General features: G+C 42.1%; 1 annotated feature.

The window, feature by feature from the left end:
• Positions 23,459 to 24,312: an enhancer, noted in NCBI's record as "H3K4me1 hESC enhancer chr4:188962925-188963778 (GRCh37/hg19 assembly coordinates)". NCBI's record gives its function as "activates a minimal SCP1, AML or CMV promoter by ChIP-STARR-seq in naive H9 embryonic stem cells {active_cell/tissue: H9 hESC(naive)}" and the evidence as "EXISTENCE:reporter gene assay evidence [ECO:0000049][PMID:30033119]".

The following is a 25,124-nucleotide window of genomic DNA, read 5'->3' as shown; positions in this document are numbered from 1 at the left end:
AGTGAGCTATGATTGTGCTACTGCACTCCAGGCTTGGCAACAGAGCAAGACCCTGTCTCTAAATAAAATAAAGTAAAACTGTGGGTGGGACTGTAAACTAGTTCAACCACTGTGGAAGACTGTGGCGATTCCTTAAGGATCTAGAACTGGAAATACCATTTGACCCAGCCATCCCATTACTGGGTATATACCCAAAGGATTGTAAATCTTGCTGCTATAAAGACACATGCACACATATGTTTATTGTGGCACTATTCACAACAGCAAAGACTTGGAACCAACCCAAATGTCCATCAATGATAGACTGGATTAAGAAAATGTGGCACATATACACTATGGAATACTATGCAGCCATAAAAAAGGGTGAGTTCATGTCCTTTGTAGGGACATGGATGAAGCTGGAAACCATCATTCTCAGCAAACTATCGCAAGGATAAAAAACCAAACACCACATGTTCTCACTCATAGGTGGGGAATTGAACAATGAGAACACTTGGACACAGGGTGGGGAACATCACACATTGGGGCCTGTCATGGGGTGGCGGGAGGGGGGAGGGATAGCATTAGGAGATATACCTAATGTAAATGTCGAGTTAATGGGTGCAGCACACCAACATGGCACATGTATACATACGTAACAAACCTGCACGTTGTGCACATGTACCCTAGAACTTAAAGTACAATAAAAAAATTAAAAAATCATAAAAAAATAAAATAAAGTAAAATAAAATAAAAATAAATGCCAGATGGCTTAAAAACAGAAGTTCAAACAAAATCCAACAGTGTGAAAGAGTTTACCAAAAAAAGCTTTTTAATTCTGAAATATAAAAGGCTTTTCTAAGCATGCAATAAATCCCAGATAGCCTAAAATGAAGGCTGAAATATTTAAAACTACATGAAATTAAAGACAAATGGCAAACTAGAGAAAATGTTCTGTAACATATGTGACAAAATATTAATAGTCTTACTATAAAGAGTTCTAACACATCAATAAAGAAAAGACAAAGAATCCAATACAAAACAAGTTGAGGACATAAAAATGTATTTCACCTTGGAAGAGACAAAAATACACAGTCCATATGCACTTGCCTTCACTAATAATGCATGTGTCTAGTTCCTTGTTGACAAGGGTGTGAAGAATCAGACACTGCCACCATTAACTGGAGGGTGTGTATATGAGTACAATCTCTTTGCAGGGCAAATTGGAAAAAAGATATATGAAAATGCATTGGTGTTTACCATATCCAGTTCTGGGACTTACCTCATGGAAAGAATTGGGCAGGTGCACAAATACATATTATGAGACATTTATTACAAAATTGTTATAAAAGGAGAAAAGGTCAATAGGGGAATGGCTAAATAAATTAAGAAACATTCTGTAGCTATTAAACAGAAGACAAATTATATAGAGATAGAGAGATAAAATAGATTTACAAAATTACTGTAATATATTTTGAGTAATAAAATCAACTTCCATAAAAACTTTTAGATTTATATGTCCTGAGAATTCCAGGCTAAGTAGTTTACACGGATCATCTCATTCAATCCTCAGAGCCCTGATTGTCTAGTACATCAAAACATTTATTACAAATGTGTCTCTTCACTAAGAGCCGCCTTCAATGCACAATACAGCAATGGCCAAGGCTGTTGTGGAAAAATTTTCTGACTTTTATGGTTCAGTCTTTAATGAATTTTTATTATTTTTGTTTTGTTTTACTTTTATGGAATTTTCAAACGTATTAAAAGTGGGGAGAAAAATAAAATGCGTCCTCATGTGTTGCCAGAGTAGCCTCAGTGAGCGCCAGCACCTGCCCGTCTTGTTCCAGCTCTACCCCACCTGTCCTGGAGAGCTCTGACCCGAATCGTGGACGCCGTCACTGCACCACGGACATTCCGGTGAGCAGCTCCAAAGCCAAGCCACAGCCTCCCTTATGTACCACTTTGTTGTCAACGTGATAGCTATATTTCTTTTTGTTTGTTTGTTTGTGTTTGTTTTTTTATTTTCGCTCTTGTTGCCCAGACTGGAGTGCAGTGGCGTGATCTCGGCTTACCGCAACCTCTGCCTCGCTCAAGCGATTCTCCTACCTCAGCCTCCGGAGTAGCTGGGATTACAGGCATGCACCACCATGCCCGGCTAATTTTGTATTTTTAGTAGAGATGGGGTTTCTCCATGTTGGCCAGGCTGGTCTCGAACCCCTGACCTCAGGTCATCCGCCCGCCTCAGCCTCCCAAAGTGCTGGGATGACAGGCGTGAGCCACCGCGCCCGGTCTCATAAGAGCGCTATTTATTTTTCTGCGCTTTCAAACTTATTCTGTGCATTTAACTGCATGTTAGTATTGTATAGTACGGGCACAGCACAGATTTTTAAAATCATTTCTCTATTAATATGCATTTTAGCTGTCAGTTTTTCACTGTAACAAGCTGTGCTGTAATAATCTTTCTACAATGCTTTTTCTTTCTCTTGTTGGGGTGGGGGCGGGAGTAGGGTGGCGTATGTTGAATATTTCAGATAGATGCCCAGAAATGAATTGGTTGGATATTTAACAGATAGAAAAATAAAATAAAATAAAATTTATTTTTTATTTTTATTTCTTGATAAGGGTCTCGCTGTCTTGCCCAAGCTGGAGTGCAGTGGCGCGATCTCAACTCTCTACAACCTCCGCCTCCTGGGTTAAAGTGACTCCCACCTCAGCCTCCTGAGTAGCTGGGATTACAGGCGAGGACCACCACGCTCAGCTAATTTTTGCATTTTTTTGCAGAGAAGGGGTTTCGCCATGTTGTCAAAGCTGGTCTGGAACTCCTGGGCTCAAATGATCTGCCTGCCTCAGCCTCCCAAAGTGCTGGGATTATGGGTGTGAGCCACTGCACCCTGCCCCAAATTTTTGTATGATATTTCTATGCTGTAAATCTGCCAGGGACTTTTCATCTCATTCAGACTAAAAGTCAGAGTCTTATAATGGCCTACAAGGGCCCCAAGGGTGATCTGGACCCTCATGTCCCACCTCCACCCCCACTAGGGCATTATCTCCCATCTCCCCTCCTCAGACTGAACTCTCTGCTGCAGTAACTCCAACTCCCCTGTTCTTCAAACACACAACACGCACTGCCAGTCGAGGCCCTGACACATGCTGGCCATTAGGCCTGGAATACCCTCCCGGAAACAGCCCCACGGCTCCTACCCATGCTGCTTCCATCTAATGCTCAATAACAATTTTAACAGGAATTTTTTAAACTAGAAATCTGATTCTGAAGAAGGTATGGAAAAATAAGTGAATAAGAATAACAGGCAAAAGTATAAATCTGAGAAATACTTTATGCAAGTAATTAGCCCTACAAGATAATAAAACAATAATAATTAGGCTGGGTGCAGTGGCTCACGCTTGTAATCCCAGCACTTTGGGAGGTCAAGGCAGATGAATCACAGGGTCAGGAGTTCGAGACAAGCCTGGCTAATATGGTGAAACCCCATCTCTACTAAAAATACAAAAATTAGCTGGGCGTGGTGGCAGTTACCTGTAATCCCAGCTACTTGGGAGGCTGAGGCAGGAGAATCACTTAAACCTGGGAGGCAGAGGTTGCAGTGAGCAGAGACTGGGCCACTGCACTCCAGCCTGGGAGATAGAGCGAGACTCCGTCTCAAAATAAATAAACAAATAAGTAAATAAATAAATGAATAAAATAATAATAATAACATTGAAAACACAGTATTACTAGAATATGAAGATATAGACTCATCAATGAAACAGAATGAAGTCCAGTAAAAGACTCAAATACATATGGAAATCTAGTATTGATAAAGGTGATATTTCAAATCAATTGAGAAAGATGGATTATTCTACAAATAGTGTTGCAACAAGAGGAGCTATTTGAAGAAAAAAATTAATTGTATCTCTACCTCACACTTTAAACCAAAATAAATCCCAATGTTCACATACTTACACTTCAAAACTGATACCATAAAAGTGCTAAAAGAAAACACAGTTGAATACTTTTATAAAATTGGAATATATTAGCCTCCTCAGTATATTAAACTCAAAAACAACAAAAATCACAGATTGATTTGACTTTTAAAATAAGGCCGGGCGCAGTGGCTCACGCCTGTAATCCCAGCACTTTGGGAAGCCGAGACAGGCAGATCACCTGAGGTCAGGAGTTAGACACCAGCCTGACCAACATGGAGAAACCCTGTCTCTACTAAAAATACAAAATTAGCTGGGCGTGGTGGTGCATGCCTGTAGTCCCAGCTACTCGGGAGGCTGAGGCAGGAGAATCGCTTGAACCTGGGAGGCGGAGGTTGAGGTGAGCTGAGATCGTTCCATTCACTCCAGCCTGGGCAACAAGAGCAAAACTCTGTCTCAAAAAAAAAATTATAATAATAATAATAATTAAAATTTTTCACATAACTAAAAATTTAAAATAATAAAGATGAAATAAATGTTAAATTAGAAAGCAAATATATGTCTTATATCATAGACAAGAAACTAACTTAATCTATGAGATGCTTTTTCAAATGAATGAGGAAACAAACAGGAAAATAGGCAAAGAATGTAAGAAGTAGTTTACAGAAGAATGTAAATTGTTCTTAAGCTTATAAAAGATGTTCTTAATAAGGAAAATGCAAACTAAATCTACCGGAGATAACGTTTCTTACCCTTGAATTTGTCAGTAATTCAAAATGTTGACAACCTACTTTGGGCAAGGCTGCAGAAACAGAGGCCCGCTGGGACCACAGTCTGTGGGACCGTGAAGCTCTCTGGCTCCACCGCGGTCCGTGGCACCGTGAAGCTCTCTGGCTCCACCACGGTCCGTGGCACCGTGAAGCTCTCTGGCTCCACCACAGGGGCCTCTGTGTGTGTTCTCCCAGGCACTTCCACTTAGAGCTTCCTTTGTTAACGCCTAGTTAATGCTGATGCATTCGTCCGAGCCCACTTCAGCATCATCTCCTCAAGGAACCCTTCCCTGACCTGGCTTCCATCCCCAATCCTCTCCTGCCCTGCATGCTCATAATACTTATTCATAGCACCTCTCAAAAAGGGTTATTTATTCATCTGGCACTTGCTTTTCTCACTCAAAGTCAAAATTTACAAGGTCAAAATCTTTAGCGATCCTTTCCTCCAATATTTGGCTCCTACTGGGTGTAGTTGCATGGCAATTAAAGAATAAACTTTTAGTTATCTGTGCCATTTCATTACGTTCTCTCAGCCTCTGTTGTCTCAAGAAAATATAAGCGTCCTTGGGAGATTGTGACTGTTAAATGAGATATAAAGTCCATAACATAATGCTTGACACAGAGTAAACCCTCAACACAGGGAAGCTATACTAATATTTAATTATAATTATCATTACCAAGGCAATGTGTGCCTGGTTGGGACAGATTAACATGTGCCAAGCTTCAGTTGTTGGTTTTCTTTTTGTTTTTGTTTTTGTTTTGAGATGGAGTCTGGCTCTGTTGCCCAGGCTGGAGTGCAGGGGCGCGATCTCGGCTCACTGCAAGCTCCGCCTCCCGGGTTCACGCCATTCTCCTGCCGCAGCCTCGGTTGTGCTCACCTCTGCTCCACTACTGTTGCAGTGGCTATGTTCTGTCGAAACTCTTATTTACTGAATATTTTACTTTCAGTGACTAACTTCTTTAAATTAAATGTCTACTTTAACCTCACACAAAATTAATCTCTGCAAAAGTATTAGTTTTTTATGTATTTTCTGCAATAAATCGTTATCTAATAAAAAGCTTTCCTGGTGATCACCAAAATTATCATGAGAAGATGCTACTTGACTCAGTCCTTGGGAAATGCGGAGATAAATAATCACTTGATGTTTATCATTCCCCTTCTTTGCATGTCTCTAAATTGTACCTATTAGAATTATTTATCTCTGTGTTTATCTTCATCATTAACTGGGATGTCTAAGGGCAAGGACTGTGACTGTAAATTCTACTGCCGGTGATTACTAAGATACTTTCCCAGAACAGAGGCTCAATAAATATTTGCTAAATGAATTAAACAGTTTTTGAATGCCTACATTGATTAAGAAATATGCTAGACATGTTGGCAGGACTCAAAGAATAATCAGAGATTCTCAATCAAGAAGTTAGCAAGTTATAAAAGAAATATGTTTATTTTTCTATAAAAATGTATATGTTATACAACTTATAGGTATGTTATACGTATGTAGTTACTTTCCATGAATGTTAAGAGTAAAGATAAACAACTTTTTAGCTAAAAATTACATTCAAGCTATACCTTGACAAATAAGGATGTGAATTGACAATGTGTGTGTTTTTGCCTGTGTTTGCTTGTATAGAGGTTACATGTAAGCTTCCTACAAGATGCAAAGGTACAAAAGGTGTTGCAGTGAAAAGTAAGTTTCCCTGAAATCTCTGACCCCGTGTGCCAGTTCTTCCACCCAGGACCCCTTGTTACAAGTTTCTCCCCTCCACTACCACTTGGAGCTATTCTGTGCATATGGAATTAAGATTCCAATTGAAGATGGAGGGAGAGGCTGGAGAGAGGCAATTCCAAAACAGAGAATTACACATGCAAAGCCGTCGAGGTGAAGAAGTGGAGAAACGTGAGGGAAAAAGTGAGGAAATAATGAGTGAAATTATGACCAATAGAGCAGGAAACAGTGAAGCAGGGTACTGTGGCTCATGCCCGTAATCCCAGAACTTTGGGAGGCCAAGACAGGAGGACGGCTTGAGCCCAGGAGTTTCAGACCAGCCTGGGCAACATAGGGAGACCCCAGACCCATACATTTTAAAAAATAAATTAGCTGGGTGTGGTGGTTTGTGCCTGTGGTCCCAGCTCTTCAGGAGGCTGAGGTGGGAGGATCACTTGAGCCCAGGAGATGGAGGCTGCAGTGAGCCGAGATTGCACCACTGCACTGCGGCCTGGGCAACAAGTGAGATCCTGTCTAAGAAAAAATAAAAAAGGAAGAAAGAAAGGAAAGAAAGAAAAGAAAGGAAGAAAGGAGGGAAGGAAGGAAGGAAGGAAGGAAAAAAGAAAGGAAAATGAAGGAAGAAAATAATGGCAAAAATCAGTTGGTAAAATGTAAACAGTCCCTGGCAATTACAAAAATGTAATCATTAATGCCTTTAGAATGTGAGGATAATTAATAAATTTCACATTAAAGAAAAGAACATTAAAGTAATAGTGTGATATCGCTTTTCAACTATAAATTATAATGATCTCAAAATGTGATAGCAATGTGTTGGCCAGTGTGAAGGAAAATGGTGCTTTTATACATTGCTGATGGAAGTATAAACTGACATAATCCATGGAAGAAAATTTGCCAATATTCATTAAAATTTTAAATGCATTTACTCTTTGATATGGCAGTTTTACTTCTAGGATATTGCTATGGTTTTAATGTGTCACCTCCAAAATTCAGGTGTTAAGGGAGGGCCAGGAAAGCTCCTTCCCTTGTGAATGGAATTAAGGCATGTGTATATATATGTGTATGTAAATTGTATATATAAGGCCTTTGTGTGTGTGTGTATACACCTTTAAAGCCATATATATATAATATATATATATATATATATATATATATATAGGCTTTACCCAGGTTTTGGCTTCCTTGTCCTTCTGCCTTCTGCCATGTGAGGACACAGCACGTCTACCCCTCCAGAGGGTACAGCATCAAGGTGCCATCTCGGAAGCAGAAGGCAGCCCTCACCAGACAACTGGCACCTTGACCTTGGACTTCCCAGCTTCCAAAATTGTGAGAAAATAAATTTCTGTTCTTAATAAATTATCTGGTCTCAAGTGTTTTGTTATAGCCGCACAAGGAAAAATTATTTTCCAAACACTCATATGTATGAGCAATGCTATCCATACAAGAACACGTAGTACAGCATTGTTTAAAAATCACAAAATTCGGCCGGGCACAGTGGCTCACGCCTGTAATCCCAGCACTTTGGGAGGCCGAGGCGGGTGGATCACCTGAGGTCAGGAGTTCAAGACCAGCCTGACCAACATGGAGAAACCCCATCTCTACTAAAAACACAAAATTAGCCGGGCATGGTGGCGCATGCCTGTAATCCCAGCTACTCGGAAGGCTGATTCAGGAGAATCACTTGAACCTGGGAGGCGGAGGTTGCGGTGAGCCGAGATCGTGCCACTGCACTCCAGCCTGGGCAGCAAGAACAAACTTCTGTCTAAAGAAAAAAAAAAAAATCACAAAATTCTAGAAATTGAAATACCACCAATAAAAGATTGGTCAAATAAATTGAGGACACAGTTATACAAGGAATGCTATGTCACTTTTATAAAGAAGAGAGAGTTTTCCCAAAATTGATATAAAATTACACCCAAAATACAGTTGAGGCAAAAGGTAGAATACAGGAAATATGTACAAGATGTTCCCATTTGAAGGTAGAAAAAAGGATATCTATGGTGTGTACATACACGCATATATGTCTAACTGTCTTTATATAGATATACACATGCTTAGGTGGGCTTATAATATCTCTAGAGAAAGACAAAACAAATAAAGTTGCGACTGCCTCTGGGGGTAGAAACCAGGTATCTATAGGGATAAAAGGAAAAGTTACTTTTCACTTTTTACCATTTTGTAGCCAATGAATTGTATAGTCATTAAGTCAGCAAATATTTGTAAGCACCTACTAAGTATCAGGTACTTTTGCAGGCATTGGAGATAAAGTTCCCACTCTCCTGAAGTTTATATTGTACATGTGCATGTTATTTAAAAATTAAAGTTCATAAGACAAATATGATCTATGTACTGTAGCTAAAACAAATATTATTTACTTTTTAATTCTTCTCACTACATAAATTAAAAGTAATTATTTTAACACTTTTTCTTTTTTAAATCTAAAATTGTATTCGTCTTTTTTTTTTTTTGAGACAGAGTCTTGCTCTGTCACCCAGGCTGAAGTGCAGTGGTGTGATCTTGGCACACTGCAACGTCTGCCTCCCAGGTTCAAGGGATTCTCGTGCCTCAGCCTCCCAAGTAGCTGGAATTACAGGCGCACACCACACCATGCCCAGCTAATTTTAGTATTTTTAGTTCAGATGGGGTTTCACCATGTTGACCAGGCTGGCCTCGAACTCCTGACCTCAAGTGATTGACCCACCTCGGCCTCCCAAAGTTCTGGGATTATAGGCATGAGCCACCGCGCCCAGCCAGTCTTTAAGATAAAATACAAGCATTAAAAATTAATTACTTTTTTCACATCAGTTTTAAGTACAAGTAAAACTATGTATTCAAAATTATTTTTTATTGTAAACTTTTAAAAATTAGGAAGTCAAATCTCAAAGTTAAAAAGTTAGGGATCAGATAAAGGGTACTAAAGTTAGGATAATAGATTTAAAAGTTTAAAAATGAAAGTGTCAACTTTGGTTGACTAATTTAAAGATGATTACACTGGTTCTTTCAGCGGGTTTTATGAAGCTGAATGAACAAAATGGCAGTGCAGGGAAAGCAGGAGGAACAAAGACAGCCCCAGTGCAGTGATCCCAACTTGGGTTCGGAGGTTTTAAGGGCCTGGAAGTTTACACGACCCTGAAGATTTGAGACTGGTTGACTGAGGTAGACTGTGCCCTCATGAAAGGGAGAGGTAGACTGTGCCCACATGGAAGGGAGAGGTAGACTGTGCCCGCATGGAAGGGAGAGGTAGACTGTGCCCGCATGGAAGAGAGAATGAAACCTGGAGCTCATTGTAGAATCTCTTCAGTTCCAGATGATGTCAGGCCTCACCATTAGAAAGAGATGAGAATGAGGCCGGGCGCGGTGGCTCACACCTGTAATCCCAGCACTTTGGGAGGCCGAGGTGGGTGGATCACGAGGTCAGGAGATCAAGGCCATCCTGGCCAATACTGTGAAACCTCATCTCTAATAAAAATACAAAAATTAGCTGGGCTTGGTGGTGCGTGCCTGTAATCCCAGCTACTCGGGAGGCTGAGGCAGGAGAATCGCTTGAACCAGGGAGTCGGCCGTTGCAGTGAGCCATGATCGCACCATTGCACTCCAGCCTGGGCGACAGAGACTCCATCTCAACAAAAATAAAAATAAAAAAAGAGAGAGATGAGAATGTGACTCAAGGACTAGAGCGAAGCAGACAGGTCTGGGTTTGAAATTTAATTTTTCGTGTTTTACTCACACACGAGGTGAGTGTGATCATGCAGAAAAGACCCACAGAAAGAAGGCTTACCATTTGTGGCAAAGCCTAGAAGAGGAGCCATGGAGATCGAAGGGACAATGAATGTACTATGGGGGACACAAGGAATCCAGAGGCAAGGAAACCTATGGCCTTTCTGAAGAGATGAGTTTTTGTTTTGTTTTGTTTTGTTTTGTTTTTGAGACAGAGTTTTGCTCTTGTTGCCCAGGCTGGAGTGCAATGGTACGATCTTGGCTCACTGCAACCTCTGCCTCCTGGGTTCAGGCAATTCTCTTGCCTCAGCCTCCTGAGTAGCTAGGATTACAGGCATGCATCACCACGCCCAGCTAATTTTGTATTTTTACTAGAGACGGGGTTTCTCGACGTTGGTCAGGCTGGTCTCAAACTCCCGACCTTGGGTATCTGCCCACCTTGGCCTCCCAAAGTGCTGGGATCACAGGCGTGAGCCACTGCGCCCAGCCCATAATGAGTTTTGTAAGAAGAATAATGTAGGTAAAGGGTTCAAGTTGTGCAGGTGAAGGTGCTAGATAAAAGGAAAATCAGGAGCTAGTTGGGACAGCACTTTGGAAGTGTTCTGAGGCTGGAAGGCATTTTGTTAGAAGTTTTTTTTGTTTTTGTTTTTGTTTTTGTTTTTGAGAGAGTCTCGCTTTCGCCTAGGCTGGAGTGTAGTGGCGCAATCTCGGCTCACTGCAACCTCCACTTCCCGGGTTCAGCAATTCTCCTGCCTCAGCCTTCCAAGTAGCTGGGACTACAGGCACATGCCGCCACACCTGGCTAATTTTTTTCTGTATTTTAGTAGAGATAGGGTTTCACTGTGTTGCCCAGGCTAGTCTTGAACTTCTGAGCTCAGGCAATCTTTCCGCCTCATCCTCCCAAAGTGCTAGGATTACAGGCGTGAGCCACCGCACCCGGCCTAGAAGTTTAAGTAGTGAGCTACAAGAAAAGGCAGCAGGAAAGAAAAGTAGAAATATGGGTTATTATGAGGTCATGTAGGAATGACTGAGGGATGTTTATTTTTTTGCAGATCAGTTAACTAAGGCCATGAAACTTGAGTGTGTTTTGTGGTGTATCAAGAGATTTGGAAATGCACAAATATTCCACACATGATACACTAGTACCATATTGAATGTGATTGTTCTCCTTATTCAATTGATTGAATTAAATGTCTTTTTGTTTCATTGAGCTGCCTAATTGCTCCATTATAATTTCTATGTATTCCCCAAAAGACCACTTTCCTTAGGTTAAGATACAATGGAATAGCCCACAGAGATAAGCAAAGTATAGGCATCTTCTCCTCCTTTTCGTTGAAGTAGAAATTTATTTGTTTTTGTGTTAAAATTGGATTCAGTGGGGAGGCAAACTCTATTAAATTAAACCATAAAGAAGTTGCATGAATATGGATGGATGGGGTGTTTGTTGGGTGCCTTTCCAACTGTCTACGGAAATCTGAGCCACAGAGAGGCAAAGTCAAACTTCCTTGGGGCAGTGCCGAGAGAGGGCCCGGGGCATGACAGTGCTTTAAACATTAGAGTCTTAGGAAAGCTGTAGGTCACTGGATGTCTATGCAATTGAGCTAGTGTAACACTAAAAAAGGGTCCAATTTTGTCTATTGCTAACTGTAAGAATTATATCCATGAATAAAGAAGATAGCTATGTGGGTGTATTTGTCCATTCTCATGCTGCAATGAAGAAATACCTGAGACTGGGTAACTATAAAAAAAGAGTTTTAATTGACTCACAGTTCCACATGGCTGGGGAAGCCTCAGGAAACTTACAATCATGGCAGAAGGCACCTCTTTACAGGGCGGCAGGAGAGAGAATGAATGCAAGCAGAGGAAATGACAGACGCTTATAAAACCATCAGATCTCATGAGAACTCACTCACTATCATGAGAACAGCATGGGGGAAACTGCCCATGATTCAAATACCTCCCACCAGGTCCCACCCTCACCATGTGGGGATTATGGGGAGTAAAATTCAAGCTGAGGTTTGGGTGGGGACACAGAGCCAAACCATATCAGTGGGTCATATCTGAAGATAGCCAAAGATAACTTAGTAGTTGAGTTCGTTTAGGCTATGTAATCCCACCAGAGATCTTTGAATGTAGGGACAAGTTTGGCCAAATATCTCAGGTACATCTGTGGAAAAGGAAAAGCTAGCCCCTATGTTCCTGACTTGAATAAATGTTAACTTCCTGTTTGAGAGACAGAGCCTTAATTTGGGGAAGATGACCAAAATCAAAAAGAAACACACAAATCTCGTTTCTTTAATTAAAAGTGAAGTGAATCCAATGTGAAAACCAAAAAGCACCAGGCGCAGCGGAAATGACTTTGTCAGCAGGACCAGAGGCCCTTTCGTGTTCTCTTTCCACTTTCAGGAGCCTATGGCTCATTAAGTGCTTCCCAAAGGGAAAGGCGCGATGCATGGCTGGGAGATGTAAGGAGGCAGCAGCTCCTGCAGGCAGGTGGAGCGTGTCACTCACCAGCACATACACATGGGGGAGACTGTTCTGAAACTAAACAGCTGTCCACTTAGGGCTCATCTTAAGCTAAGAAGTCTCCAAAATAGAATTAACCTGCAAAAAGTATATGCGAGAGATGCTCGCTCCAGGTGCTTTTTGAAAAATGAGAACCTTCAGACAGTGATGTGCTACTAATTTATGATTGTTATTTTTGTGAATGATGGTGGTTATTTAACACAAATCATTCCTCTAAGGAAGTGCGGTTCATTTTGTTGTAAGGTTTGGCTTCCTTCCATTTGTTTTGTTGTTATTGTTGTGATTACTGTTTCTGTGGTATCCAAGTTTTGTGATCTATGCAGTTTTCTGATTTCTGCACTTTGGTATTTCTGTAACAAGATTGGGTATCTTTTTTATTTTTTTTTAATGAGACTCAGTCTCACTCTATTGCCCTGGTTGGAGTGCAGTGGTGCAATCTTGGCTCACTGCAACCTCCACCTCCTGGGTTCAAGCAATTCTCCTGCCTCAGCCTCCCAAGTAGCTGGGACTACAGGCGCGTGACACCACGTCCAGCTAATCTTTGTATTTTTGGTAGAGATGGGTTTTCACCATGTTGGCCAGGCTAGTCTTGAACTTCTGACTTCAGGTGATCCGCCCACCTTGGCCTCCCAAAGTGCTGGGATTACAGGCATGAGCCACCATGCCAGGCCAAAATTAGGTATCTTTGGTGATTGTCTTTCTTTTCTTTTTTTTCTTTTTTTTTGTTGTTTGTTTGTTTTGACTGAGTTTTGCTCTGTTGCTCAGGCTGGAGTGCAATGGCACAATCTTGGCTTACTGCAACCTTCGTCTCCTGGGTTCAAGTGATCCTCCTGCCTCAGCCTCCCAAGTAGCTGGGATTACAGGCACCCGCTACCACATTCGGCTAATTTTTGTATTTTTCCGTAGAGACGGGGTTTCACCATGTTGGCCAGACTGGTCTCAAATTCCTGACCCCAAGTGATCCACCTGCCTTGGCCTCTCAAAGTGCTGGCATTACAGACGTGAGCCACCTCGCCCAGCCTTTGGTAAGTCTTTAATTTAGAAGTCATATTTGTGGTTAGATAGATTGGCCTTTTTGCAAAACCCTTTTTCTTGAAATATTGAAGAATGTCAGACATACAGACATCATGCAATATATCTTGAAAAGTAATCCACGTGAATGTAAGGGGTCCAAAGGAGGCCTTAACCTGAATGAATCTTTATTCAAAATAGGTGCTTTTTACAACGAAAATCTTATCTAACTTTATCAAAGTTATTCTCTAACATTTTCTAATTTTTGTGTATGTTTCCACATGTTCTTCATTCATTCCTCCGTTCAGCTGTGCTCTTTTCAAACATACATGGAATTGCACTAGATACAGGGTTCTGCAACCTGCCTTCTTCACTAAATAATTTCTGCATAGTAGTCTGTCTCCTTATACAGAGATCCTCGTCTTTAGTGACTGCATGATAGTTACATAACCAATGTTCCACATTAGGTTTATTAAGCCCCTTCTTGAAGAAACTGTTTCTGCATTTTTGTGCCTACAAATATTGCTCGAATAGACTCCTGTAGTAAAATCATGAACTTGACAAGTGTCCGGAGAGTATCTCCAGATGTGGAATTGGTGATCAAAGGAAAAATGCCAAAGTTTTAGAATGTAATACCAAGAATGGGTTGGTACTTCATTTTTACTGCAATTTTCTGAAATTTAAGGATGTGTTCTCAAAAAACGATTATATATATTTGCTGAAATCACTAAAGTCTCACTTACAGTCATTAGGCAATAATATCTCATTTGAATTAAAAACATGAGTTTTGTGAATGTGGTGACATTTTATTATACACACTGGTGATGAAATTACAGCTCAATTTAATAGTAGGGTAAGTATTAAATTTTTGTTTTTCTTTTTTTAATGTTGCTTTGTGTATTTTGTTCAATAATGGTAGGGTAAGTATTAAATTTAAGAGTAGGACAACTAAATATTACATGCTAATGTGATGCAATCATAAAGTATAGCACAACTTATAAAACATCTGGCCAAAACTACTTACCTGGCAGCTAATGAAACCTTTAGCTCTCACTTTCACATTATACAAAATACACGTGATAAGCAAAGCTAAATGACATCATGAGGAAACACTTGGACAAATCTAGAAGGTAGAACATTATAGAAACCGGACCAATCTCTTCAATATGTCAATAAGATTTTGAAACAAAAAGGGGCTGCTCTTTTAGATTCAAAATAAGAGATAGAACAAAATGAAAAACTTGCTATTCATTGTTTATCGGCTTAAGCAAGGATGTGCTGAAAACCCATAGGGACATGTCACAGGCTAGGCAAACCAGCTTAAAAGCACACCTGCTTGTAAATCTGGGAATATTTGACCATCCGAATAATGACAAGAATGTATTATTAGGTTGATGCAAAAGGAATTGCGGTTTTTGTCATTAAAAATAATTGCGGCTGGGTGAGGTGGCTCACGCCTGTAATGTCAGCACTTTGGGAGGCCCAGGTGGGCAGATCACGAGGTCAGGAGATTGAGACCATATTGGCCAATGTGGTGAAACCCCATCTCTACAGAAAATAAAAAATTAGCTGAGTGTGGTGGTGCATGCCTGTAATCCCGGCTACTCGGGAGACTGAGGCAGCAGAATGGCTTGAACCAGGGAGAGGAAGGTTGCGGTGAGCTGAGATCGCACCACTGCACTCCAGCCTGGGGACAGAGCGAGACTCCGTCTCAAAAAAAAAAAAAAAAAAATTGCAAAAACTGCAATTACTTTTGCACCAATAGAAAATCTTAATAAAGGCTGGGCAAGGTGGTTCATGCCTGTAATCTCAGCATTTTGGGGAGGCCGAGGTGGAAGGATGGCTTGAGGCCAGGAATTCAAGACCAGCCTGGGCAGCATAGTGAGACCCTGTCTCTACAAAAAAAAAAAAAAAATTAGCTGGGCACAGTGACACGTGCCTATACTCATAGCTACTCAGGAGACTGAGGTGGGAAGATCACTTGATCTCAGGAGGCCAAGGCTGCGGTGAGCTGAGATTGCACCACTGCACTCCAGCCTGGGTGACAGAGCGAGACTCCATCTAAAAAAAAAAAAAAGCAAACACACTTGGCAGCTAAATGCAGTGTGTGTGCCTTGATTAAACTTCGAGTTGGAGAAAAACAAACAAACAAACCTAACTATATTAGGACAAATGGGAACATTTAAATATGACCGCATATTACCGTATAATGTAGTACTGTTTTTAGTTCCTGAATATGAAACTTATAGTGTGGTTTTATAAGCAAATGTACTGGCTCTTGGGAGGTTTCCACAAAAGTATTTAGGAAAAAAAAGTCATGTTGCCTGCAACTAACAGGCATGTAATGGTTCACCTGTTCCTTCACCCCTGCCAAAAGTGTGGTAGACATGCGTATACATATGTACACACATATGTATGCATATGTATGATGTGTGTGATAGGTTGTATGTGTATACTTCACATGTTAGTGTGTGTGCATGCCTATGCATGTGTGTTTGTGGAGACAGAGAGAGGGATCACAAAAATGTGACACAATGTTAACAATTAGTGAACGTATAAGAAAGGTATAAGGTATATTAGTTCGCTCAGGCTCGCATAATAAAATACCACTTACTGGCTGGCTTAACCAGCATAGATCCATTTTCTCGGAGTCCTGAAGGCTGGAAGCCCAAGCTGAGGCTGTCGGCGGGGTCCTTCCTCTCCTCTGAGGCCCCTCTCCTTGGCTCTTGCAGCTGCTTCACAGGGGTGTCCCAGGGTGTGTCCCAATTTCCTCTTCTTACAAAGACAGCAGTCAGATTGGATTAAGGCCCACCCTAATGGCCTTAACTTCATCACGTCTTTTAAGATCCTCTCTCCAAACACAGCCGCATTCTGAGATACGCAGTTTAGGACTGCAACATACGAATTTTGTAGGGACACAATTTAGCCCATCACAAAGGGTATTCACTGGACTATCTGCAGCTTTTCAGTGGGTTTGAACATTCTCAAAATAAAAAGTTGTGGGGAAAAAATTAAGAACCTGGCTGGTCCCATCTACTTCTCTAAAATCAAATTATTCTGAGAGTCAGAAATATTTTGGCATGTGTTAAACATTGACTAAACTACTGAGACGAGCAGTGTAAGATATTATGGGAAGACTTTTTTTTGAAAGAAAAAGAATCAACAGAAGCTGGACTGTGTTAGTCAATTTCTATCTCATACCAACACCCCCCTACACCACACACACACACACACACACACACACACACACAAACATCCTGCAAACTGAAGCACAATTTTTTTAAAATTCAAAATAAAAAAACTGCCCTATCATTTTGGCAAAAGTCATAACTTCTTCATTAACTTATTACATTTAATGTCTTATTGATAAAGAATATTTGTAATGTGACACAGGTCAACATTATGACAATGCTCATTGTTATAATTACAGTCTTCAGATTTAAAAAATGTTTCTATTTCGAGATTTTTTCCATTATAATTTAGCTATAAATTGAATAAATATAATGGCATTCACCTTTCATTTCCAATTCCTCTTGATAGTTTTCATTCCTAAAGTTTTTTCACCTCAAACTGTGATCTGTCAGGTTTCATAAGCTCTGAGTATTGTCAGCATTGCCGGTGTGTGGATGGGAAGACCCTAGAGAAAATCGAGGCTCTGTAGAAAAGGCTGGTGATTCAGGAAGTGATGCTCATTCCTCCAAGTGCGGGTTGAAGCAATGCCCCAGCACGAGAGCTGCGCTCTCTTTTAAAATGACATAAAACAGAGGTCTTAACTTTAGTATGAGACGCTTTCTTTGAAAACCTCCAGAAACCATCCCAGTTTCAGATTTCATGAGTTGTCTTAGAAATTTTTTTCACATGTATTCAAAAGTTTTAATACTTCAAGAGATCAGAGGAACTTTACTAAGTTGCAAATATATCTTTATTCCCTGACTCCTTTTTCAAAAGTATTTTTCTGATTATAAAGTTAGAATATGTTTGGTAAAAAAAATTTCAGAAATAAAAGTATAAATGAAGTGAAAACTCATGCATAATACTCTACCTAGGGATCAGAGAATTGTTAGTATTTTATCAATGAATTATTCTAAAGTCTGGTAAATAAAAAAGTAAAGGATTTATCCTACTTTTCTTGTATGAACTATATCTCAGAACAGCTAAAGGGTGAATTCTGGGTCAAATCCTGACCTAATTTGTTGCCAATCTTTCTTATTTCTTCATTCATATATTTAAAGTTCTTTACTTCCCTCTAGATACTGCTTTGGCAGTGTTCTACCAATATCAACATGGGGTGCTGCTGTCATTTATTCTACATTCTTCAAAATGAACCTCATTTTGCTCAGAAGATTTTAATTTTTATTTATTTATTTATTTTATAGATGCTCGGCACCTTTAATTATACAAAATCAACTTGTTTCAAGATACGAAATTAATGTTGATATGTAATTAATGAAAAAAAAATATGTTAAAAAGAAGACTATACAAATACCCACACAGGCCAGGCACGGTGGCTCAAGCCTGTAATCCCAGCACTTTGGGAGGCAAAGGCGGGCGGATCACTTGAGGTCAGGAGTTTGAGCCCGGCCTGGCCAACATGGTGAAAACCTGTCTCTACCGAAAATACAAAAATTAGCTGTACATGGTGACACACGCCTGTAATCCCAGCCACTCAGGAGGCTGAGGCAGGAGAATCACTAGAACCTGGAAGGTGGAGGCTGCAGTGAGCCAAGATTGCACCACTGAACTCCAGCCTGGGCAACAGGGCAAGACTGTCTCAAAAGAAAAAAGAATACCCAGACATATGCTGTATTTCCACTTATACATGTGCGATCAATAAACATCCACACACTCACATAGAAACTGATTTCATTTATGAATGAAGGCCATATTTTGTAGATATTTTAAGGATGCCAGGACGCCGCGGAAGCTGGAGAAAGGAATTGAGGAGCAGTACGTGCTGGCCACACAAAAACTATGTTTATTTAGCTGGTGAGTACCTAGAGTCGCAAATGACAGCAATCAGGCTCACAAACACCCAGAAATGGGAATTAAGGGTTTCAATGTAGTTATAAAGCTCATAAAAAGTCCGATTAGACTGAGGTACAGTTACTCAAAATTTTGAGATTCGTTAAGTGGTGGCAAACAAAATAACTCCTCAGACAAATGCACATTGTTCAGTATACACAGTATTGCAGGGACGGAGGGAGAAGAATGTGCCTTAACTGGTGAAATCCATCAAGCTGCATATCAGGATTCTGTTACACCAGTTTGAAGACAGGGAAATGTTCTAATACAATTTCAGGTTTTGTTTCATTTGGCTAAAATAGAGCTTAAGGTTGCCTTCTCATGTTAAAAGTTTATTACAAAGATTTTTCACATAAACATGTAGACTTGAACTCCAGGACTAAATATGGCGTGATTATTTTGCTTTTAATCTGTCAAGTAGCTAAAAATTGACCATTCTAAAACTACAACAAAGAAAAAGTTGAAGTAGTGTGGCTCACATCGTTGAACCATTTCTAATGGTTAACTGTTAGCATTTAACAAGTTCAAAGAGTTAATGAATCCTTGCTTTCATTTGGTTCTGCATGCCTCAGCTAGGATGCACAATCACAAAAGGCAGCAGGCACTGGCAAAAGCTTGCTCAGAAGTTTTTAATTGCATGTTGTAAATGTCCCGGGCATAACATTTTAAATCAATCATCTACTAATGGTTTCAAATTTACTGTATTATCAGCAGACCACAATCTTTATAATATTGATCTTCAGAATGGATTAAGGTTTTCCTCGTATGCTAGCACGTGAACATGATTTTAAGATTTCATGTGTGCTTGAATAATTATTGTATTTTTTCTGATTGATAGGCATGAAATATTTTCTTTTTTTTTCTGGAGATGGAGTCTTACTCTGTCTCCCAGGCTGGATTGCAGTGGCACCATCTTGGCTCACTGCAACCTCCACCTCCCGGGTTCACGCCATTCTCCTGCCTCAGCCTCCCGAGTAGCTGGGACTACAGGTGCACGCCACCACGCCCGGATAATTTTTGTATTTTCAGTAAGATAGGGTTTCACCATGTTGGCCAGGCTGGTCTTGACTTCCTCACCTCAGGTGATCTGCCCGCTTTGGCCGCCCAAAGTGCTGGGACTACAGGCGTGAGACACATATGCCCAGCCATGAAATATTTTCTATAGCTAATAATTCAAACATTATTTTTAGGGGCTTACTTTTAAATTTTAGACTGATCTTGAAAATCATAACCTAGGAAGTGTTTTGGATTTCTATTTAAATAAAAGTAGATTTAGACAAGTTCAGAAAAAAAGTACTAGCCTTTTGCATACAGTTTATTGACACCGTCACAGGGTAGAGTGGACCCCACACGTGTTTTCTTACTCTTACTCTCCTTTACTTACTCTTACTCTCTGCCTCTCAGATTCCCACCCTCTCTGCCGTAGCTTATTAGCTTTCAGAGCTAGTTAGGTCTCCAACTTATCACTTTAATTTCTAAAGGCACATAATGAATTTTAACCAGTAACTAACCATTGTGAGAGCGTGGGGAGATCCTTCTGCTTTTTTTTATTTTTTCTGAGACAGAGTTTCACTCTTGTTGCCCAGGCTGCAGTGCAGTGGTGTGATCTTGGCTCACCACAACCTCTGCCTCCTGGGTTCAAGCGATACTCCTGCCTCAGCCTCCCGAGTAGCTGGAATTATAGGCATGCGCCACCACGCCCGGCTCATTTTTTTGTATTTTTGGTAGACGGGATTTCTCCACTTTGGTCAGGCAGGTCCCGAACTCCTGACCTCAGGTGATCCGCCCACTTCGGCCCCCAAAGTGCTGGGATTACAGGCGTGAGCCACCATGCCCTGTCATCCTTCACCTTTTTAGTTCAAATAAATCTCATTTAAGCTAGTAAGCTCATGTGAAGAAACCTGGAGATGGAGGCACAGCAGGATGGGAGTAACTGATGATCTAGACATCTGAAGCAGTGTGACGTTTAAAGTCCTATGAACCTGTTGATTCAATTGGTCTTACTTACGACCTAACAGCTTAATACCATTCACTTGTGAGGAGTTGCTGGCTGTTTCTGAATTTGTGATGGTGAAAGGTGGGAGAGAATGTGCATAGGCAATTAGCATGAAGAGTGGAACTATGTTCTTTAAGGCTTGTTGAAGCAGCACTTATTAACATGCCATGGAACATGCTTGGAGTGACTGAGTACCAATGGAGAGAGGGGTTGCCAGGAAGACCAGAGTCCCTGGTATTTATATGCCAAGCTTACCAGAGTGGGAATAGCAATTACGTCTTTCTGTTTTGGGAAAAAAACAAAGCAAAATACCCACTTCTTTCCTCTGCCACTGATCTTTCTAGGGCTGACTTTTTCATTGTGGTGGGAGCACATCCCACCAGGGCTGCCTGTAGCACAGAAAGATGTCTTTCATGGAGCGCCCATGAAGGACTCCAACACGTCCCATGCAATGGCAGCCACACTAGAACTAGCAGGAGTCACACACTGGGGAGCGTTTGGGACCTCATTTGATATATGGGTTCGCATCCCTTCTGCTCCTGGATTTATTATTATGCCATGCCATGCCGCAACTGCCAATTTTTAATGAGTTTTGCATCCTGAACACTCAGTTTAATTCCAGAGAATTCAGAACAGGGCCCTTTATTGTTGGTGCTATATCCCCAAAGGGAACCCAGTGGTGTTTACTGATTCACTGAATGATATATGGACCTTCCAGATCCATGTTATTCTCAGGGCTAGGAGTCATCCACTGCACCCTTTCCTTTCGCTGCAAAGACTTTCGGCTTTCAGGACAAGTCGGCCCTACTGTTGCAGAGAAAAATCACAGCATTTTCTTGTTCTAATCACAGTGACCAACCATGATACTTTCAAGGTGAGAATCACTTGATCTCCACATTGGGGTCAGTAGAAATATATTTCATCTTTAAAGGAAAACAACCAGATTTCATCACAGAAGAGGGTTTTTAGAGTGTGAAAGCACTTCCTACCCAGAATATGCACTTATATAATTGTTTAATAATAGAAAAAGAGGTTCCATGGAGGAATTGTCACTAGTCAGGGTTCTGCAGGAGACCAGTTGGCCAGGGAAGAGGCTTTTGGGGACCAGCTAGTGGCTATATGCAAATACCATTCTCATTTATTTATTTATTTAGTTAGTTAGTTTTTAGACAGAATCTCACTCTGTTGCCCAGGCTGTAGTGCAGTGGCACGCTCTTGGCTCATTGCAAGCTCCGCCCCCAGATTCAAGTGATTCCCGTGCCTCAGCCTCTGGAGTAGCTGGGATTATGGGTGTGTGCCACCATGCCTGGCTAACTTTTTTTTTTTTTTTTCTTGAGACGGAGTCTAGCTCTTTTGCCCAGGCTGGAGCGCTGTGGCACAATCTCGGCTCACTGCAACCTCCGCCTCCCGAGTTCAAGCGATCCTCCTGCCTCAGCCTTCCGAGTAGCTGGGGTTGCAGGCGCATACCACCAAGCTCAGCTAATTTTTGTATTTTTAGTGGAGACGGGGTTTCACTGTGTTGGCCAGGCTGGTCTCCAACTCCTAACCTCGTGATCTGCCCGCCTCGGCCTCCCCAAGTGCTGGGATTACAGGCATGAGTCACCACTCCCCGCCAACTTTTGTATTTTTAGTAGAGAACGAGGTTTCACTATGTTGGCCAGGCAGGTCTTGAACTCCTAGCTTCTAGTGATCCGCGTGCCTTGGCCTCCCAAAGTGCTGGGATTAAAGGCGTGAGCCACCATGCCCAGCCCCATTTTCATTTTAAACTTAGGTGAGCACAGCACTCAAACCTCTCAAAGAAAAACAAAAACACAGCATTACTTCTGAAACTTGCAACAGTTACTCTGTTCTCATCACCATTTGACTGGTATTGGTAATCTACTGCTGTGTCATGAACCATTCCAAACCTTAGTGTCCTAACACAACAATTGTCAACTCATGATTCTATAGATCATCACTGGAGCGAGGCAGGACACTTTGCTTGCTATTTTTGGTGAGGCTCACTCATGCATTTGTCTTCATTTGCAAATTCTGGTGATCAGTCAGTGGACTGGTGAGGGCTAGTATATCCAGATGGCCCCACTTACCCTCTGGGAGTGGCTTTCTTTTTTTTCTTTGCTTTTTTTTTTTTTTTTTTGAGACGCAGTCTCATTCTGTTGCCCAGGCTGGGGAGCACATAATCTTGGCTGACTGCAAACTCCACCTCCCGGGTTCATGCACTTCTCCTGCCTCAGCCTCCGGAGTAGCTGAGATCACAGGCGCCCGCCACGCCCAGCTAATTTTTGTGTTTTTAGTAGACACGGGCTTTCATCATGTTGGCCAGGCTGGTCTCGAACTCCTGGCCTCAAGTGATCCACCAACCTTGGCCTCTCAAAGTGCTGGGATTACAGGCGTGAGCCACCGTGTCCGGCCCTGGGAGTGGCTTTCTATCGGCCAGGGTAGGTTGGTTCTCTTCCCCTGGTCTCATTCTCCGACAAGATAATCCGATGTGTTCACATGACAGCAGGGTCCCAGGAGCAGCAGGAAGCAAAACCCCAACGTCAGTTCTTCTTAAGCCTCTTTATCATGTTTGTTAATTTCCCATTAGCAAAAGCCGTGTTAGTCAGTCAAGCCCAGACTCAAAGGAGGAGAAAATGGACTTCACCTATTGATGGGAGAAGATAACCATCACATTGCAAAGGGACATGCATTAGGGGTGGCAAAAAGTCATGCACTAAGTCGCTACTGCTGACTTAGCTTGAATATTCACAAAACACTAAGAAAATATGAAAAGTTAAGCTCAGGGAATTAAAGTTATTCATCTAAAACCAGACAGCACCTGGTAGTGGCACTGGCCAAACCATTTATATCAGTCTTCAAAGACTGTTTAAAAAAAAAAAAAATCACCAAACCTCAAAGTTACAGTACCAGGAGGAGACTTACTCTCTTCCCATCTGAAAGGCCCCCGCAGGGTGTGCAGTTGGGGTGTGGCTCTGGCTCGCTTCCCGCTGCTCAAACCTCCAGGGGAGCTTTGTGCGGCTCCGACCCCACGGCGGTGTCTGCGGTGGATGTTTACGGCTCCTGAAGACCCAGGGGGCGTCTGTTACAAGGTGTCTATAGGCGGCTCATGTTAACCAGCTCAATAGGCCCCCTTCCTTATCGCAAGGAGAGAGGGATTTCTGTATCCCGGGTTCTTGCCTTGGTGTACCTGAAGAATCGCAGCACACCTGGGCTTGGAGAACGAGTGTCAAGTGTTAACTCTCCCACGATGGGGAGCCAGAAGGAAGATGATCTTCCCCTGGCTCTCCTCCCACTGCCCGGGCCAAACTCCGCCTGGTCCTGCCGGTCAATGGCCTGTCCGTGTGCCGGTATTTTCTTCTGCGCGCGTGAGCCTCTCGACCTCCTCTCCACCGCCAGCGGCTGTGGCGTCTTCTGCTGACTTGTCCTCTCAACGTCTGGCGGCCTCTGTCACTGCCTTGCTAGCATCTTGGGTTTTTATAGGCCCAGGATGCGGCCATGGCAGGCCAGGGTGGTTTTGGGAAATGCAACATTTGGGCGGGAAATGCAACATTTGGGCAGAGATGCCTGTCCTCACCTAGGTCCGTGGGGGCGGAGCCCTAGCTAAGGACCACGCCCTCCTTTACCCGGCACATCCCTTCCCCACTTCCGAATTATTTAAAGGGACCATGCTCTTCTCTACCCAGCACTTCTGTATCACATACACTACCATTAAAAATACATATATAAACAGTTGACATTTCTGCAACGTCAAGTAAAGATCTACACAAGTACAGTCTAAAATTGCCTGCCTGGCATGCCCCATGCCTGTCCCTTTTTTTTATGAGATGGAGTTTGGCTCTTGTCGCCCAGGCTGGAGTGCAGTGGCGCAATCTCAGCTCACCACAACCTCTGCCTCCCGGGTTCAAGCGATTGTCCTGCCTCAGCCTCCCCAGTAGCTGGGATTACAGGCGCCCGCCACCACCCCAGGCTAATTTTTTGTATTTTTGGTAGAGACGGAGTTTCATTGTGTCGGCCAGGCTGGTCTCTAACTCCTGACCTAGTGTTCCACCCGCCTCGGCCTCCCGAAGTGCTGGGATTACAAGGGTGAGCCACCGCGCCCAGCCGAATGCCCGTCCTTCTGAGATGTTTGCTGACCCTAAGCCCTCTGTGTGGAAGTCCTGTAGGCTCCTTTGCATGTATACATATATTCCAGAGGTCACCAATCATACCGCATTGTGATTGTCTATTAGCCCGTGAGCCTCATCAGCAGCACTGTGTTTATCAAGTGCCTGCCAGGGTAGCATGTATAGAGGTGGGGTCTTGTTCTGTCACCCAGGCTGGAGTGCAGTAGCAGGATAGTGACTCACTGTAGATTTGAATTCCTGGGCTTAAGTGATCCCCCTGCCTCAGCCCCCTTGGTAGCTAGGACTACAGGTGCATGACACCACGCCTGGCTAATTTTTTTTTTTTTTTACAAAT

The sequence above is a fragment of the Homo sapiens genome, chromosome 4 (genome assembly GCF_000001405.40).
Source record: "Homo sapiens chromosome 4, GRCh38.p14 Primary Assembly".
Classification (NCBI taxonomy): domain Eukaryota; kingdom Metazoa; phylum Chordata; class Mammalia; order Primates; family Hominidae; genus Homo; species Homo sapiens.
The sequence above is the reverse complement of the archived record's forward strand: the minus strand, read 5'-3'. Positions and strand labels throughout refer to the sequence as shown.